A 16,358-nucleotide genomic window follows, 5' to 3' on the forward strand; every position below is an offset into this window, starting at 1 on the left:
GGCCAGGCTGGGGCACCGCACCTGCCAGTGAGCCCAGTGAGGGCAGGGCGTCCTTGCCCATTTAGATCCTTGTCTTTATCACTGTTCTGCCTCTTCTAAAACAAGCGCCGAGACCAGGGTGTCAGTGCCTCCATATCACCAGCTGTGGGCCCCAGAAGATCGCCAGGGAGGAAAATGAATCCAGCTTTGCCCCAGGACACAGGCTGAGCACCGTCTGTCCCTCTCAGAGCTGCAGGATGGAGAGAAGGGGCGCCTAGAGGTTGCTGCCTTCTTGCTTCCCAAGGCCAAGCCACTTCCTTGGCCAGCAGTGTTTCTGGCCTCCCTATTTCAAATCCTGGCTTGCCCTCTGCCTATGACAGCCCTGGAAGCCCAAGCCAAAGATTTCATCCTCTCTGGCTGTCTTGAGGTGACACGAGGTGGGAGCCTCAGGCCCTGGATGAGGAGCTTGCAAGAAGGGTATCCAGAATGGAGGAAGCACTGACACCTTCCCTCCCTTCTAAGCCTCAAAGACATTCTGTGGAGAGGAGTTTAGGGTTGTGACCAATAGGACTTTAATGTCACTACATGGCCTAAGGGCCAGTCACCTGCAACATGAGAACTCAGAGGGCTTTGTGGCTGATGACAACCTGGTCACTGCAATCCTGGCTGCCTTCCTCTACCTCTGCCCTGAGAGCAGGGAAAGGCATTGGCAAGTCACAGGTAGTCTCTAAGTCTTGGTTTGTACATCTGGAAAATGGGAAAGGAAATTCCTCCTGGCCACCCCCTTGAGGCTCAGAGCACAGCTGCAACCATGGCCCAGAACAACTGCTCAGAAACCCCACTTCCACCTAGGAGCGCGACGCAGCCTCAGACCTGGCTTCCAACACCTCACCTCTCTTTCCAAAAAGTCAACCTCACACTCCGGTGGGGGCAGGGGTTTCCACCACAGGAAAGATGAAATAAGAGGGGCTTAGGTGGCAGTTCTAAAACAGGAACCCAAACTTGCGCGGAGTGACCGGCCCTGTGAATAGGAAACAATGGCTGATAGGACCGTATAGGGGGTAGGGGAACACCTTTGTCAGGACATGCTGTTTTGGGGATCCATACCAGAGCAGTAAGGCAGTGTCCCCACCCGTCCCTCACCAACCAGGGTAAAGACCACAACACCTGCCCCCCCAGTGGAATGGAACATTCCAACTGAAGTCGATGAATGACCCCAGGCCAGGCAGCAGTTACTACAGGTTGGGTTGGGGCCTGCAAGATTGTTGTGCGTGAGGGGTAGGTGCATGTAGGTGGAAGTGTGTGTGCATGGAGGATACGTGTGCAGGTGCAAGGGTATGTGCATGGAGGGGTGCGTGTATAGGTGCGAGGATGTGTGGGGTGTGTAGGTGTGAGGGTGTGTGTAGGGGGTGTGTAGGTGTGAGTGTGTTATGCGTATAGGTGGTGTGTGCGTAGGTGTGAGGTTATGTGCCTGGAGGGGGTGTGCACAGGTGCAAGGTGTGTGCATGTAGGAGGCATGTGCGTAGGTGTGAGGGTGGGCGCATATAGGGGTGTGTATGTAGGTGCGAGGGTGTGTGTAGGTGAGGGGGTGTGTGCCTGTAGGGGGCGCGTGCGTGTATGGGTGTGTAGGTGCAAGGGGTGTGTGTAGGTGAGGGGGTGTGTGTAGGTAGGGGGTGTGTGCATGAGGGTGTGTGTAGGTGCAGGGGTGTGTGTGTGTAGGGGTATGCGTGTATACACTTACAGTCCTGCTCCTAGTGGATTCTGGTTCAAGCCTTAGCAAGGCGGAGCAGGCAGTGAGGGATATGGCACTGTCACCTGCAGTCTGCAGCCCGCAGCCAGCTCTGCCGGAGTATATGTAGCTTTGCAGCTTGTGTGTTCAGCCAAGGACCCTGAGAACTGGCTCCTGCTGTCTGATGGGAAGCGCCTGGAACGCCAGGACCACCCCTCTTGAAGCCTCAGCAGAAACTTCCAGGGCCCCAAATCCTGTGTCCAGTGGCCTGACTGCGGGCCATGCACTTCCCCCGGGGGCGAGGGTGGGGGCAAGGGGCTGACTTTCTCCCCAGCTCAGCTGAGGCCTGGCCACCATGCAGCGGCGTGCGTCTAGTGGGGCGACAACCCTGCCTTCCCTGCATTCCTGAGCTAGAAGCAGGCAAACTTCCCAAGTAGGAGACGGGGAAAATGGTCCTCCCTGGGCGACATGGACCAGAGTCAGTGGCAGGCAGCCCAGGAGGCCCTGGGAAGAGGGCAGGCAGGACTCGCAGGGGTCTATCCTAGCCGCCCAAAGACAGGGAACCTCCTCTCAGACAACTCTGGGTGCTGAGGGGAACCGGCTCTGGGCAAAGGCAGTAAGCCGGCCACCCGCTCCCTGGCCCTCGGGCGCCGCCCTCTTCCCCAGGCGGCCTGCCCCCAGGCCCTCCGGCAGCACCAAGGAGACGGAGCTCTCAGCCCGGGCCCCGCCAATGCCAGCCGGCACCCCCTCACTTCCTGCAGCCGCCTCACTGCAGGCACCCCCTCACTTCCCGCGGCCGCCTCACTTCCCGTACGCTCTTCACTTCCCGTACCCGCGCCCGGCAGGAGATAAGATGTGGAGGAAGTGAGCTCACGCAGCCCGGGCCGTGCCCACGTGGGGACGGAAAAAAAGCCCACGACTCGCTCAACCTTGTCCGCGGGGCTCCTCAGGCCGGGGCCGCGTCGTCACAGCTGGGAGAGCCCACCTGCGACCGAAGGCCCTAGAAGGGCACCCCCACCCGGCACTGGCCCTCTGAGCGGGCAGGGTGGGGCGCCTCCCTGAGAAGTCACCTGGGGCTCCCGGCAGGGCCGGGGCGCCGGCTCCGCTCACTCACCCGCAGGTGGCTCCAGCTTCCGGGCTCCGACTCCCTAGGGGCGCTCCCGGAGCCGGGAAGCCTTGGGGCGAGTGGGCGGGGCTCGGGCTCCAGCCACTCAGACTACCAGGGGCGGGGGCAGGAGGCCGACCCCAGCCACCCTTAAAGCTGCCGCCCCCTCTGAGCCCCAGTCCTGCTGGGCCGTCCGCCCAACCCGAGGGCCCCTTTAAGAGGAAGGGCCAAGGCCAGGGAGAAGGGGAAGGGCAGCAGACACCAGCTCTGCTTGGTCACTGTCACGGGAGGACCCCACTCAACCAGCAAGGTGGGCCCGGCTGCTCCCAAGGGATGCCTCCTGTCTGTCCTCAGTCTGTCCGCTGGTCTGTGAGCCGCCTGTCTGCAGCCCGTGGCTGGCCTCCCAAAGCAGCTGCCTCCCCTCCACCACCCGCGACCCAACACTAGGCAGACTCAGGACCCCACGTGCTGCTGACCTCACTGAGGACCAGCTTCTTCACTGGACTGAACAGAAAGCCACCCCTGCTAGCCCTAGGAAGCTCCAGAGAATGCGAAATCCTTGATCCTTCCCGCATCCCATCTTGAAGCTACAAGGCTGCTCCCACCCCAACCTTCTGCCCTCCAGGCACGCAAAACCCTGACAAACAGAATGCCCTGACTCCAAAACTGATGTAGACCAGCGAACAAGGGCAGCCAGAAACAAGGTCCGACCGCCCCAGCCTAGAGCACACAGGCCTCCCTGCTTCACTACTAGGATGCAGAGCCCATGGGATGGATGATGCATGCTGTCTTCCCACCCCGCTAGATCGGAGGGCCCTAGTCTGCGGCTTGGCAGTCCACCCCGTACCCACATGGTGCCAGGCATCCGACAAGCACTCAGCCCACATGGGATCAGACCAATCAGCTTAATGCTTTTAGGGGAGGGGAAGGGTCTGAGAGGGATCACCATTCAACCAAAGAAAAGGTGTGGCATTAAGTAGCCTTGTTCACATCTGTGGGAGCAACTGAGCACGCCCATTCCCTATTCAATGGTGAGTTGGCCCTAGAAGTCTCAGTCTCCTCATTCTGAGCCACTGAACAGGATACAATTCCAGCGGCTTCTCACCACTGAGATCTTTGTTTCTAAAGCAACTAAGGCATGAAGGCTCATGCCTGTGATCCTAGCACTTTGGGAGGCCAAGGTGGGAGGATCACTTAAGCTCAGGAGTTTGAGACCAGCCTGGACAACATAGTGAGACCTCTTTTTTTAAACCAAAAAGAAAGAAAGAATTAAGGTTTGGAACAGGAGGAGAGGGTCTGTAGGGCTTGCGGAGAAATGGTGTGGGGGCCACGCCTGGAATAGGACATAAGGGTGTACAGTCACAGCCCCATACACCTGTCGTCCTTACCTGGATCCAGCCCAAGCAAGTGCCACATGACAAGCCACAGCCCTGGGATGCGGCAGGGGGAAGAAGACAGATAGGGTCCTCCTCCATGGATTTCCATGTTCTTCCATACCTACAATGCACCCATGGGAACAGGGAGGCAGGGGTGAACAAGGCACAGTGCCACCCCTAAGGGCCTCAGCATGTGGTACAGGGGTGGCAGATACCTTATACAAAGCTGCTCCTAATATTCTCCTGTCCAGACATCACTACGGGAGGTCCTCAAATAGTGTCATCATAACACTGATGAGAAAAAAAATCTATTCCAGCCAGGGCTACTGTCTGTGTGGAGTGTGCACGTTCTCCCCATGTCTGCATGGGTGTTCTCTGAGTACCCTAGTTTCCTCCACATCCCAAAGCCATGCACATTAGGCTCACTGGTGTGTCTAAATGGTCCCAGTCTGAGTGAGTGTGGGTGTGGGTGCACCCTGCCATGGGAAGACATCCCATCCAGGACTGGTTTCCGCCTTGTGCCCTGAGCTGCCCATCGGATAGGGGACCACCTGCAACCCTGAAATGGAGTAATTAGGTAAATAATTATCTAACTTTTTATTAATCATTCATAAATGCATGTATAGCTCACATTTCAATGGTTAATATTAGAAATGTTTGGGGTCTTTAAAAGTTCGGTGATGTTTTTGTGGTCAGAAACATCCATAGGAACTTAATTCTTGCTTCTATCAATCAGCCTATGGTAAAACTGGTTTCATTCTATGTTTTGCTTAAAGGTGAAGATCCCAAGAACCTATCATCAAGATTGAGAACTTACTGTAACTGATCCCAGCATTCTCAGAGCCCCAAAGAAACTTCAGACCCCTTCTCACCTCAGAGGTCCAAGGAAACACATGACATGGGATAAAATGCAATTAAAGCACAGAAAGATGTTGACGCAGAATCCTGCCACCACCAACTTCCAGAACTGGAAAGACCCTGGAAGACCATCCTGGCCTCCTCAAAGCCTCTAGTACTTACAGACCAGCCCACACAGGTCCCTGGGGACGGAACAAAACCAAGCCCCAGTTAGACCAGGGGAGAAAGGTCTGTAGAGGAAAGACCAGCTTCTGCACACATTCTACCTCCCATGTGCTGAGAGATCTCTGGGATTCTCACACTCTTCCCTGTGGAATGGCCAGCTCGGCTGCACTGCATCCACTGGCATTGCTTTTTAGCCATTCTAAGCCTCTAAGGCAGATGGGTGTTTAAAAACCCGTAAACCACCAGGCGCGGTGGCTCATGCCTGTAATCCCAGCACTTTGGGAGGCCGAGGCAGGCGGATCACGAGGTCAGGAGATCGAGACCATCCTGGCTAACACGGTGAAACTCCATCTCTACTAAAAATACAAACAATTAGCCAGGCATGGTGGCGGGCGCCTGTAGTCCCAGCTACTCAGGAGGCTGAGGCAGGAGAATGGCGTGAACCCAGGAGGTGGAGGTTGCAGTGAGCCGAGATCGTACCATAGCACTCCAGCCTGGGCGACAGAGCGAGACTCGTCTCAAAAAACAAACAAACAAACAAACAAACAAACGAAACCCATAAACCAGCCCACAAGTTGGCCGAGATTAGCACTACCCCACCTTCCAACCAGACCTCCACCACACATATTTTCAGTGGGGAAATGCCTCTGGATTTTGAACAATCACTTACAAGTGAATTTCCATTAGGGAAAAAAAATTGTCTGGAAATTTACTTTCCTACCTTGTATTTATTTCCTTCAGGCCATGGAGTCCTTTATTTCCACGCCTCCCACTCTGTTAGGACTCCCTTGGGTGGGAGTGCCACCTAGTGCCACTGTGAGGCTCTGCAGGCTCTCAGGCCACCTGCAGATGGAGGCCTCCCTGCCTCAGTCAAGCCACCTGTATTCTCTGCCAGGTCCCAGCTGTGTGAATTTCATGCACTACTTCTAAGGGGATGCCCTGTGCCAGGGAACAGAAGGTAGCTGCGGAACAGGGGTAAAAGGTGTCCTCAGCTAATTCTCATTTCCTGGCTCTTGGCTAATTCTCATTCCCTGGGGGCTGGCAGAAGCCCCTCAAGGAAGATGGCTGGGGTCTTAACGGCTAGTACAAGAAACCACAGGCAGGCATCAGCCTCCCCAACGTCTGGGCAGAGAGGCCAGGCAAGCACAAAGTGCCTTCAGGCTATTTCTCTACACACCAGATTCTCCTATCCCTGCCCAACTCCCCACTCATCTTTGAGAATCGTTTTTGGCAGTCCCACTAGCCTGCAAGATGTCCCGGATACCCCTGGCACATTCAGAGCCCCACCAGCAGCTCCCCAAGGGCCCTGCCCAGGCACTCAGGAAGGGCAGACTGGGGTGGAATTCAGAAAAAGTGCTTTAGGCCAGACGTGGTGACTTAGTGTCTGTAATCCCAGCACTTTGGGAGGTCAAGGTGGGCAGATCACCTGAGGTGAGAAGTTCAACACCAGCCTGGCCAACATGGTGAAACCCCATCTTTACTAAACATACAAAAATTAGCCAGGTGTGGTGGTGCACGCCTGTAATCCCAGCTACTCGGGAGGCTGAGGTGGGAGAATCGCTTGAACCTAGGAAGCAGAGGTTGCAGTGAGCTGAGATTGCCACTGCATTCAGCCTGGGTGACAGAGCAAGACTCCATCTCAAAAAAAAAAAAAAAAAAAAATAGAAAAAGAAAAAGAAAAAGTGCTTTTAGGCCTGGCACGGTGACTCATGCCTGTAATCCCAACACTTTGGGAGGCTGAGGTGGGCGGATCACCTGAGGTCAAGAGTTCAAGACCAGCCTGGCCAACATGGTGAAACCCTGTCTCTACTAAAAATACAAAATTACTCAGGTGTGGTGGCACGCACGTGTAATCCCAGCTACTCAGGAGGCTGAGGCATGAGAATCGCTTGAACCTGGGAGGTGGAGGTTGCAATGAATTGAGATCGTGCCATTGCACTCCAGTCTGGGCAACAAGAGTAAAACTCCGTCTCAAAAAACAAAACAAAACAAAACAAAACTGCTTTTAGGTAGAGCCTCCTGGCAGACAGCTTCATGCAGGGCTGCAGGTATCTTGAGTCGGCCATCCCTCGATTCCTTCCAGCCCAGAAGTTTAGCCTTGTGTTTAAGTTCCATGTCTTTTTTTTGGAGACAGAGTCTGACTCTATCCCCCAGGCTGGAGTGCAGTGGAATGATCTTGGCTCACCACAACCTCTGCCTCCCGGGTTCAAGCAATTCTCATGCCTCAGCCTCCCAAGTAGCTGGGACTACAGGTACCTGCCACCACACTGGGCTAATTTTTGTATTTTTAGTAGAGATGGGGTTTCACCATGTTGGCCAGGCTCATCTCAAACTCCTGACCTCAGGTGATCTGCCTGCCTCCCAAAGTGCTGGGATTACGGGCGTCAGCCACCATGCCCCGCTGAGTTCCACATATTCTTGAGACACGGTCCCTCCGCTTGTCCACACACTGACCGCTCAAAGCCATTGGAGGTAGCTCCCAGGTGGGTCCTGGGCCACCTGGGGGCATGGCTGTATGAGCCACCGTTCCGCCCTCTGCGATCTCCTCCTGCCCTAGAGTGAGCCCACAATTCTCTGAGGTCAGAGCTGGCCCCTGCCAGCCAGTTCCAGTGGCATAAGAACACTACAGGAGTTCAGGTGGCACTGGGGCAGGCAGGAGGCTCTGCTTCCCTGCCAACTTGACTATTTGCCCATTTCCACACTCACACCTATTAGGTAAGAAGTAAAATAGTACTAAAGCTCCACTCCCTGCCAGCATGGGGCCAGGTATTTACATACACATCACTCTTATTTAACAACTTTATGAGGGCATGAATGGCCCTATTTATAGATGAGAATAATAAAGCTACAGCATGTACATCGCTCACCAACATGGAGAACACGTCCGATACTGCCCACTACCAGGTACACCGCGGCGCCAGGACGCGTGCTGAGCACAGGCCCATGGGGCTCCAGGAAGGGGACAGGGAGAGAAGGAGGACACAGGCCACTTCACAGGGTTCTGCCTTATGCTTAGGCTGAATGGTGGTAGACCAGACAGGCTGATCTGTCTTTATTCCTTTTGATGAATTGGAATACTGTACTATACATTTTTTTTTTATTCTAAACGGAGGCTAGAAACAAGGAAGCAGCGCTCAGACAGGAGTGAGCATACCTGCAAGCCCAGCTGAGTAAGGCCTTTCCTGCACTGCTGCTCCCCAAACACCTCAGCCCTTGCCACAAGCCCCCAGGGCCATGCCTCAAAACAATAAAACCACCTTCCGGGTTCAAGCGATTCTCCTGCCTCAGCCTCCCAAGTAGCTGGGATTACAGGCACCCGCCACCACGCCCAGCTAATTTCTGGGTTTTGTTTTTTTTTGTTTTTGAGATGGAGTCTCACTCTCTCTCCCAGTCTGGAGTGCAGTGGCACGATCTCGGCTCACTGCAAGCTCTGCCTCCCAGGTTCACACCATTCTCCTGCCTCAGCCTCCCAAGTAGCTGGGACTACAGGCGCCCGCCACCACGCCCGGCTAATTTTTTGTATTTTTTTTAGTAGAGACGGGGTTTCAACGTGTTAGCCAGGATGGTCTCGATCTCCTGACCTTGTGATCTGCCCACCTCAGCCTCCCAAAGTGCTGGGATTACAGGCATGAGCCACCACGCCCAGCCTAATTTTTGTATTTTTAGTAGAGACGGGGTTTCACCATGTTGGCCAGGCTGGTCTTGAACTCCTGACCTCGTGATCCACCCATCTCGGTCTCCCAAAGTGCTGGGATTACAGGTGTGAGCCACCGCGCCCAACCTTTTCCCTTTTTTTAAAAAGATTACATATTCGTTGGGCGCAGTAGCTCACGCCTATAATTTCAACACTTTGGGAGGCCAAGGCAGCTATATCACTTGAGCCCAGGAGGTTGAGACCTGCCTGGGCAACACGGCAAAACTCTACAAAAAAAAATAATAATAAATAAATTAAAAAAAAAAAAAAAAAAAAAATATATATATATATATATATATATATATATATATATATATATAGAAAAATTAGCCGGGCATGGTGGTGCACGCCAGTAATTCCAGCTACTCAGCAGGCTGAGGTGGGAGGATCGCTTGAGCCTGGGAGGTTGAGGCTGCAGTAAGCTGTGATCACACCGCTACACTCCAGCCTGGGCAACAGAGCAAGACTCTCTCAAAAAAGAAAAAGTTGTGTTTTTTGTTTGTTTTTGTTTTTTTTTAAAAGAGGTTACATATTTACCATTAAAAATCTCTCACTGGCCCTAAACTGGCAACAGTCATCTAACCCTGGTCTCACGCCACTCTGAACCGGACCCTCCTCTGTACTTCCTCCTGCACCAGCTCGCGGCAGCCACAGGGCTGTTCTGTTCAGACCTGAGAGACCCATTCAGGCACTCACGCTGGGACGTGCATGTCACTTTACTCCAGTGACTGAGGACCTGAGAACTCCTTCGTCCTCCATTTTCCAGAGCAAAGAAGAAACAGTGAAAGCTACAGAAAAGCATCTCTGCTTTTGTGAAAGCACAATTCTCTTCCCATGCTGACTCAGTCTGGGGAAGAGGTCAACTTTTGGATCCACTCTTCTGAAGAAGCAAGTGTCCCGCTCCCCTCACCCGGCACTGGCTATCTTGAATCAGTGAAGAGGAAAGCTCTTCACTCCCTAATGTCACGTCCTACACATTACAAGCTCTGACTGAAATTTCTCACTCAGAATGTTTGTAACCTAAACATTTAGACTGAGTGGCAAGGAAGGAGGATCCATGTGCTTCCAGAAATAAGGCTCGGCCCCAGACAGACCCAGAGGCCGCCCTGCCTTTGGCGTGGGAGCCGCAGGCTGAGCAAGTGCCTCCCCTCGGGCCAGGCCCTCTGTCCTCCAAACCACTGGGCCAGGAGAGCCTGGCCCTGCTCTGTGGCCACTCAGGCAGATGTATTTTGGCTGTGCCTGCCCTTGGCTGTGGGGCTGCTGCCAGGTGGTGGTAGCCCCAGGATGAAACCAGCCCTCCCCCAAGACCTAGATCCACGGGGCAGAGGCAACACAAAGGAACTCAGGACGCTGTGACCGGGCACAGCTCAGGCCCAAAGATGTGGGGCAGGTCCAGTCACAACAGCAGCCCCACGTCCCTTCTGGAGAGTCTGGACGGCCACCCCTGCTGTCAAGCCCCTGCCCCATGGGAAACTCACCTCCACTTGACCTAACTGCAAGCAAAAGTGTCCACCAAATGCCCTGGGTCTGTGGAGGGGCGAGGAAGGGGGGATGAAGGGGGATGAAGTGGGGAAGTGGGGAGAACAGGGAAGAGGGAGAAACGCTTGTTGGCCAAGAAGACCGGCAGAGAGGAAATGACACAGCTGCCCCAAGAGAGGCAAAACGGGTAGTAAGGACACCCGCAGGCCACTCCTCCCCTCAGAGATCTGCCCCCATCCTTCCCTAGCCTCTGCCACAAAAACCAGTTCTGTCTCTACTACTAGCTAATGGTTTTTTCTTTGTAGAGGCATGGTTTTGCTATGTTGCCCAGGCTGCTCTCAAACTCCTGGGCTCAAGAGATCTTCCTGCCTCAGCCTCTCAGGCAGCTGGGACCAGAGGCACACACCACCACCCCTGGCTGATTTTTCTTTTCTTTTCCATTTTTTTTTTCTTTCTTTTTTTTTTTTTTTGAGATAGAGTTTCGTTCTTATTGCCTAGGCTGGAGTGCAATGGCGCAGTTTCAGCTGAGGTGGGAGGATCACCTGAGCCTGGGAGGTCGAGGCCGTGGTGAGCCCTGCTCACACCACTGCACTCCAGACTGGATGACAGAGTGAGAGCCTGTCTTTTTTTTCCTTTTTTTCCCCCTGAGACAGCGTCTCGCTCTGTCACCAGGCTGGAGTGCAGTGGCATGATCTCAGCTCACTGCAACCTCCGCCTCCCAGGTTCAAGCGATTCTCCTGTCTCAGCCTCTCAGGTAACAGGGACCACAGGCACACACACCACCACCCCTGGCTAATTTTTCTTTTCCTTTTTCTTTTTTTTTTTTTTGAGACAGAGTTTCATTGACCAGGCTGGAGTGCAATGGCGCAGTCTCGGCTCACTGCAACCTCCGCCTGCTGGGTTCAAGTGATTCTCCTGTCTCAGCCTCCAAATTAGCTAGGATTACAGGCGCCCGCCACCACACCCAGCAAATGTTTTTGCATTTTTAGTAGAGACGGGGTTTCACCATGTTGGCCAGGCTGGCTAATTTTTTAATGTATTTTTTTGTAGAGACAGAGTCTTGCCTTGCCAGGCTGGTCATGAACTCCTGGGCTCAAGCAATCTTCCCACCTCAGCCTCCCAAAGTGTTGGGATCACAGGCATGAGCCACCATGCCTAGCTGAAAGTGTATATTTTCAATTAGATGTTTTGTAACCAAAAATTTGAGATATAATCTAAAACAGTATTTGTCAATTTCAGGAAAAGAGGAAACAGGCAATATGACATGATTGCTGAATGATTTTTTTTATGACTTTTGGGGACAAATAGGCAGCATATCTGAAATCACAACCGCCACACAAAGGCAGGACATATGACCACTGCAGCAGTATAAACTATGGATCCATAAACTACAGATCTGTACCTGGTAGCCACCCACCCTCTGTCTGTGCTCACTCACCGCGGCTCTGAGCACAGGCCTCTATGTCAACAGCCAAAGCCACAAGCCACACCTGTGGAACCCAAGTGAACACTCAGGCCAAGAACCAAGAATGTTCCCAGGACATCATGAGTTCCTGAAAAGAAACTCAGAGAAGCGGCTCTTCTACTTCTCAGCAGTCCCTGAGCTCCTGCCTTCAAGAGTGCCCTTGGTACCCTGCAGAAAATCACCTCTGCCCACTGATGGGCCACAGGTTGAATCAGGGACTCAAGGGAATAGCACTCTGGAAGCCAAAAAGCATTATTCAAGCTGCGCACACTCCACGCGACGGGGCTAAATGGAACTAAAAGGAACACTCTGGGTCTTCAACCTGAGCAGCTCAGCAAGCAGCTTTCCAGAACACGATTTCAAGCTACTTTTTTTTTTTTTTTTTGAGACAGAGTCTTGCTCTGTCACCCCGGCTGGAGTGCAGTGGCACAATCTCAACTCACTGCAACCTCTACCTCCTGGCTCAAGCAATCCTCCCACCTCAGCCTCCCAAGTAGCTGGGACCACAGGCCCATGCCACCACACCGGTTGATTTTTGTATTTTGAGCAGAGATGAGGTTTCACCACGTTGCGCGGATTGGTCTCAAACTCCTGAGCTCAAGTGATCCGCCACCTCAGTCTCCCAAAGTGCTGGGATTACAGGCATGAGCCACCACTCCAGGCCTCAAGCTACCCTTTCTAGAGACATCATTCTGTGAAATAAAAACTTAAAATAAAAACATCCTTTTTGTTTCGGTTTGGTTGTTTTTTTTTTTTTTTTTTTTTTTGAGACGGAGTCTCGCTCTGTCAACCAGGCTGGAGTACAATGGCACGATCTCGGCTCACTGCAACCTCTGCCTCCTGGGTTCAAGCAATTCTCCCACCTCAGCCTCCCGAGTAGCAGGGATTACAGGTGCCTGCCGCCACGCCTGGCTAATTTTTGTATTTTTAGTAGAGACAAGGTTTCACCATGTGGGCCAGGCTGGTCTTGAACTCCTGACCTCAGGTGATCCACCCGCCTCGGCCTCCCAAAGTGCTGGGATTACAGGCATGAGCCACCACACCCGGTGTTTTTTTTTTTTTTTTTTTTTTTTGAGATGGAGTTTCACTCTTGCTGCCCAGGCTGGAGTGCAATGGCGCAATCTCGGCTCACTGCAACCTCCACCTCCTGGGTTCAAGCGATTCTCCTGCCTCAGCCTCCCAAGTAGCTGGGATTACAAGTATGCACCACCACTCCCGGCTAATTTTTTGTATTTAGTAGAAGAGGGGTTCCACCATGTTGGTCGGGCTGGTCTTAACTCCTGACCTCAGGTGATCCACCCACCTCGACATCATGCTCAACTAACGGATAAAAGATTCACTCTTACCATAGATCTTATCAAAATCAGCATATGATTTTTTTTCTTTCCTTTTGAAGTCCAGAACTTTCACATTTTCACTTAAAGAAGGCACTTTACCACTTTCTCTTCGGCAATCCAAATTGCCAGAATTGCTATTATTGCACTTTGGGGCCAGTGTTAAGCCAAATAAGGGTGACCTGAACACAAGCACCAGAATACCACGACAGCTGATACGGTAACTGAGATGGCTACTAAGTGACTTATGGGCAGGCAGCATAGACACTGAGGTCACAATGGACAGAGGGAGGATTCATATCCTAGGTGGGAGAGAGAGAGTTCATTATGCTACTCAGAACAGGGAGACATTTGAAACTTAGGAATTGTGGCCAGGTGCGGTGGCTCACACCTGTAATCCCAGCTTTGGGAGGCTGAGGTGGGCAGATCACCTGAGGTCAAGAGTTCAAGAACAGCCTGGCCAACAATGGTGAAACCCGATCTCTACTAAAAACACACAAAAAAATTAGCCAGGTGTGGTGCCACAAGCCTGTAATCCCAGCTACTCGGGAGGCTGAGGCAGGAGAACTGCTTGAACCCGGGAGGCGCAGGTTGCAGTGAGCTGAGATCGCGCCACTGCACTCCAGCCTGGGCGACAGAGTGAGACGCCATCTCAAAAAATAATAATAATAATGATAAAATTTAAAAACTTAGGAATTATTTCTGGAAATTTACATTTAATATTTTCAGACTGCAGGAACATGAAACCTTGGATAAGGGGGAAACACTCCGATTGTTTTAGAAGCCAAATGCATGCCACAAACCATAAAGGTGTCCATACCCTTTCAGGCAGCAATCCTACACGTAGGCTTTCATCATGAGGAAAAGGCTTTATGTGCAAAGGTATGCTCTGCAACATTATTCATGGTGGCAAAGACCACCAGTATACCAGAATCAACTGAGGTGGTAAAGCCTCAGTGGCAACCAGAGACTTCAGGACCTGGGCGCCTGTCACCACTGAGGAAGAGCCAAGAGTGGCTCCAGGGTGGCTCACACCTGGAATCCCAGCACTTTGGGAGGCCAAGGTGGGAGGATCGCTTGAGACCAGCCTAGGCAACATAGTGAGACCCCATCTCTACAAAAAATAAAAAATTAGCTGAGTGTGGTGGTGGTGCATGCCTGTGCACCATGTCCCAGCTACTTGGGAGGCTGAGGTGAGAGGACTGCTTAAACTCGGAAGGTTAAGGCTACAGTGAGCTGTGACTGTGCCACTGCACTCCAGTCTGGGCAACACAGCAAGAGCCTGCCTCAAAAAAGAAAAACAAAAAACAAACAAACAGCTGAATCAATTTAAAAATACAGAAAAAAGGACAGGTGTGGTAGCTCACACCTGTAATCCCAGCACTTTGGGGGCCCAAGGCAGGTGGATCACAAGGTCAGGAAATTGAGAGCATCCTGGCCAACACGGTGAAACCCCATCTCTACTAAAAATACAAAAATTAGCTGGGCGTGGTGGTGCGCGCACCTGTAGTCCCGGCTGCTTGGGAGACTGAGGCAGGGGAATCACTTGAACCCGGGAGGCAGAGGTTGCAGTGAGCGAAGATCACGCCACTGGACTCCAGCCTGGGAGACAGAGCGAGACTCAGTTTCAAAAAAAAAAAAAAAGAAAGAAAAAAAGCCGGGCGTGGTGGCTCACACCTGTAATCCCAGCACTTTGGGAGGCTGAGGCGGGCGGATCACCTGAGGTCGGGAGTTCGAGACCAGCTTGACCAACATGGAGCATCCCCGTCTCTACTAAAAATACTAAATTAGCCAGGCGTGGTGGCACACACCTGTAATCCTACCTACTTGGGAGGCTGAAGCAGGAAAATTGCTTGAACCCGGGAGGCGGAAGTTGCAGTGAGCAGAGATTGTGCCACTGCACTCCAGCCTGGGCAACAAGAGCAAAATGCCATCTCAAAAAAAAAAAAAAAAGAAAATAGAGATAAAGACAGGAAGTGAATGCATAAAAAACAAAGCGCATGATTAAGCAATCACAGTCACATGGCAAGAAGGCGTGGGAATCATCATGTCCCCTGTTTTCCAACATTCTGTCATAGTGTTTGCTATATTCATCTCCGTCATTTAACAGGGAGTAAGACTGATTTCTACAAGCATGCCAAGACCATTCAATAGAGAAAGGATAATCTTTTCAACAAATGATGCTGGGAAAACTGGATACCCACATGCAAAATAATGACGTTGGATTCTTCTCTTATACCGTAAATAAAAATTAATTCAAAATGGATAAAAGACTTAAATATAAAACTACCCTGGCGAAGTGGCACATACCTACAGTCCACTACTGGGAAGGCTAAGGTGAAAGAAACATGTGAACCCAGGAGTTCAAGGCTGTAGCAAGATATGATCACACCACTACTCTCCAGCCTTAGCACAGCAAGACCCTGTCTCTGAAAAACAAAACAAAACAAAAACCTAAAACTGGCCCGGCACAGTGGCTCATGCCTGTAATTCTAGCACTTTGGGAGGCCAAGGTGGGTGAATCACTTGAGCTAAGGAGTTCAAAACCACCCTGGGCAACATGGTGAAACCCCATCTCTACAAAAAAATACAAAAATTAGTGGCTGTGCATGGTGGCTCATGCCTGTAATCCCAGCACTTTGGGAGGCCAAGGCAGGCAGATCACGAAGTCAGGAGATCGAGACTATCCTGGTTAACACGGTGAAACCCCGTCTCTACTAAAAATACAAAAAATTAGCCAGGCCTGGTGGCGGGCACTTGTAATCCCAGCTACTCAGGAGGCTGAGGCAGGAGAATGGCTTGAACCCAAGAGGCAGAGGTTGCAGTGAGCCGAGATTGCGCCACTGCACTCCAGCCTGGGTGACAGGGCGAGTCTCCGTCTCAAAAAAAAAAACAAAAACAAAAACAAAAAACTGTAGCCCTGAAGGGAACATTAGGTAGGGCTCATCTGCCTTTGGTTCTTCAAGCTGGCTTATCATCAGAATCACCTACAGGGCTCCTGGAAAACACAGATCTTGCACCTAGCCCAAACTTTGTAGATTTCTAGGAGTTAAGGAATTCAAATTCATAATTTTTTCTTTTTTTTTTTTTTGAGATGGAGTCTTCACTCTGTCACCCAGGCTGGAGTGCAGTGGCATGATCTCAGCTCACTGCAACCTCCACCTCCCGGGTTCA

At 52.0% G+C, this 16,358-nt stretch overlaps 1 protein-coding gene across 13 annotated transcripts in view, besides 7 other annotated features; it reads right to left on the reverse strand.

Annotated features, from left to right (window-relative positions):
* Positions 1–16,358, reverse strand: part of PISD (phosphatidylserine decarboxylase) — a 44,074-nt gene that overhangs the window by 9,491 nt on the left and 18,225 nt on the right. Inside the window, exons 1-2 of one of the 13 annotated variants that reach the window (NM_014338.4) lie at positions 2,823–2,854; positions 22–229 (exon numbers count right to left, since the gene is read on the reverse strand). The exons of 10 other annotated variants lie outside the window; for them this stretch is intronic. The gene's annotated coding sequence lies outside the window, so the exon portion shown is untranslated. Of the gene's footprint in view, positions 1–21; positions 230–2,822; positions 2,855–4,201; positions 4,311–10,384; positions 10,543–16,358 lie in introns of those variants that run through there. 2 more of the 13 variants (NM_001326416.2, NM_178022.2) reach the window with 2 other exon arrangements.
* Positions 2,382–2,676: an enhancer, noted in NCBI's record as "tiled region #13794; HepG2 Activating non-DNase unmatched - State 1:Tss, and K562 Activating non-DNase unmatched - State 1:Tss". NCBI's record gives its function as "activates a minimal TATA promoter and a strong SV40 promoter by Sharpr-MPRA in HepG2 and K562 cells {active_cell/tissue: HepG2 | K562}" and the evidence as "EXISTENCE:reporter gene assay evidence [ECO:0000049][PMID:27701403]".
* Positions 2,382–3,023: a biological region, named in NCBI's record as "Sharpr-MPRA regulatory region 13794".
* Positions 2,604–3,023: a silencer, noted in NCBI's record as "silent region_13636". NCBI's record gives its function as "represses an Ori minimal core promoter by ATAC-STARR-seq in GM12878 lymphoblastoid cells {active_cell/tissue: GM12878}" and the evidence as "EXISTENCE:reporter gene assay evidence [ECO:0000049][PMID:35858748]".
* Positions 3,094–3,253: an enhancer, noted in NCBI's record as "active region_18864". NCBI's record gives its function as "activates an Ori minimal core promoter by ATAC-STARR-seq in GM12878 lymphoblastoid cells {active_cell/tissue: GM12878}" and the evidence as "EXISTENCE:reporter gene assay evidence [ECO:0000049][PMID:35858748]".
* Positions 3,400–4,087: an enhancer, noted in NCBI's record as "H3K4me1 hESC enhancer chr22:32027367-32028054 (GRCh37/hg19 assembly coordinates)". NCBI's record gives its function as "activates a minimal SCP1, AML or CMV promoter by ChIP-STARR-seq in naive H9 embryonic stem cells {active_cell/tissue: H9 hESC(naive)}" and the evidence as "EXISTENCE:reporter gene assay evidence [ECO:0000049][PMID:30033119]".
* Positions 6,124–6,173: a silencer, noted in NCBI's record as "silent region_13637". NCBI's record gives its function as "represses an Ori minimal core promoter by ATAC-STARR-seq in GM12878 lymphoblastoid cells {active_cell/tissue: GM12878}" and the evidence as "EXISTENCE:reporter gene assay evidence [ECO:0000049][PMID:35858748]".
* Positions 10,816–10,895: an enhancer, noted in NCBI's record as "active region_18865". NCBI's record gives its function as "activates an Ori minimal core promoter by ATAC-STARR-seq in GM12878 lymphoblastoid cells {active_cell/tissue: GM12878}" and the evidence as "EXISTENCE:reporter gene assay evidence [ECO:0000049][PMID:35858748]".

Source organism: Homo sapiens, chromosome 22, assembly GCF_000001405.40.
Source record: "Homo sapiens chromosome 22, GRCh38.p14 Primary Assembly".
In the NCBI taxonomy this organism is placed as follows: domain Eukaryota; kingdom Metazoa; phylum Chordata; class Mammalia; order Primates; family Hominidae; genus Homo; species Homo sapiens.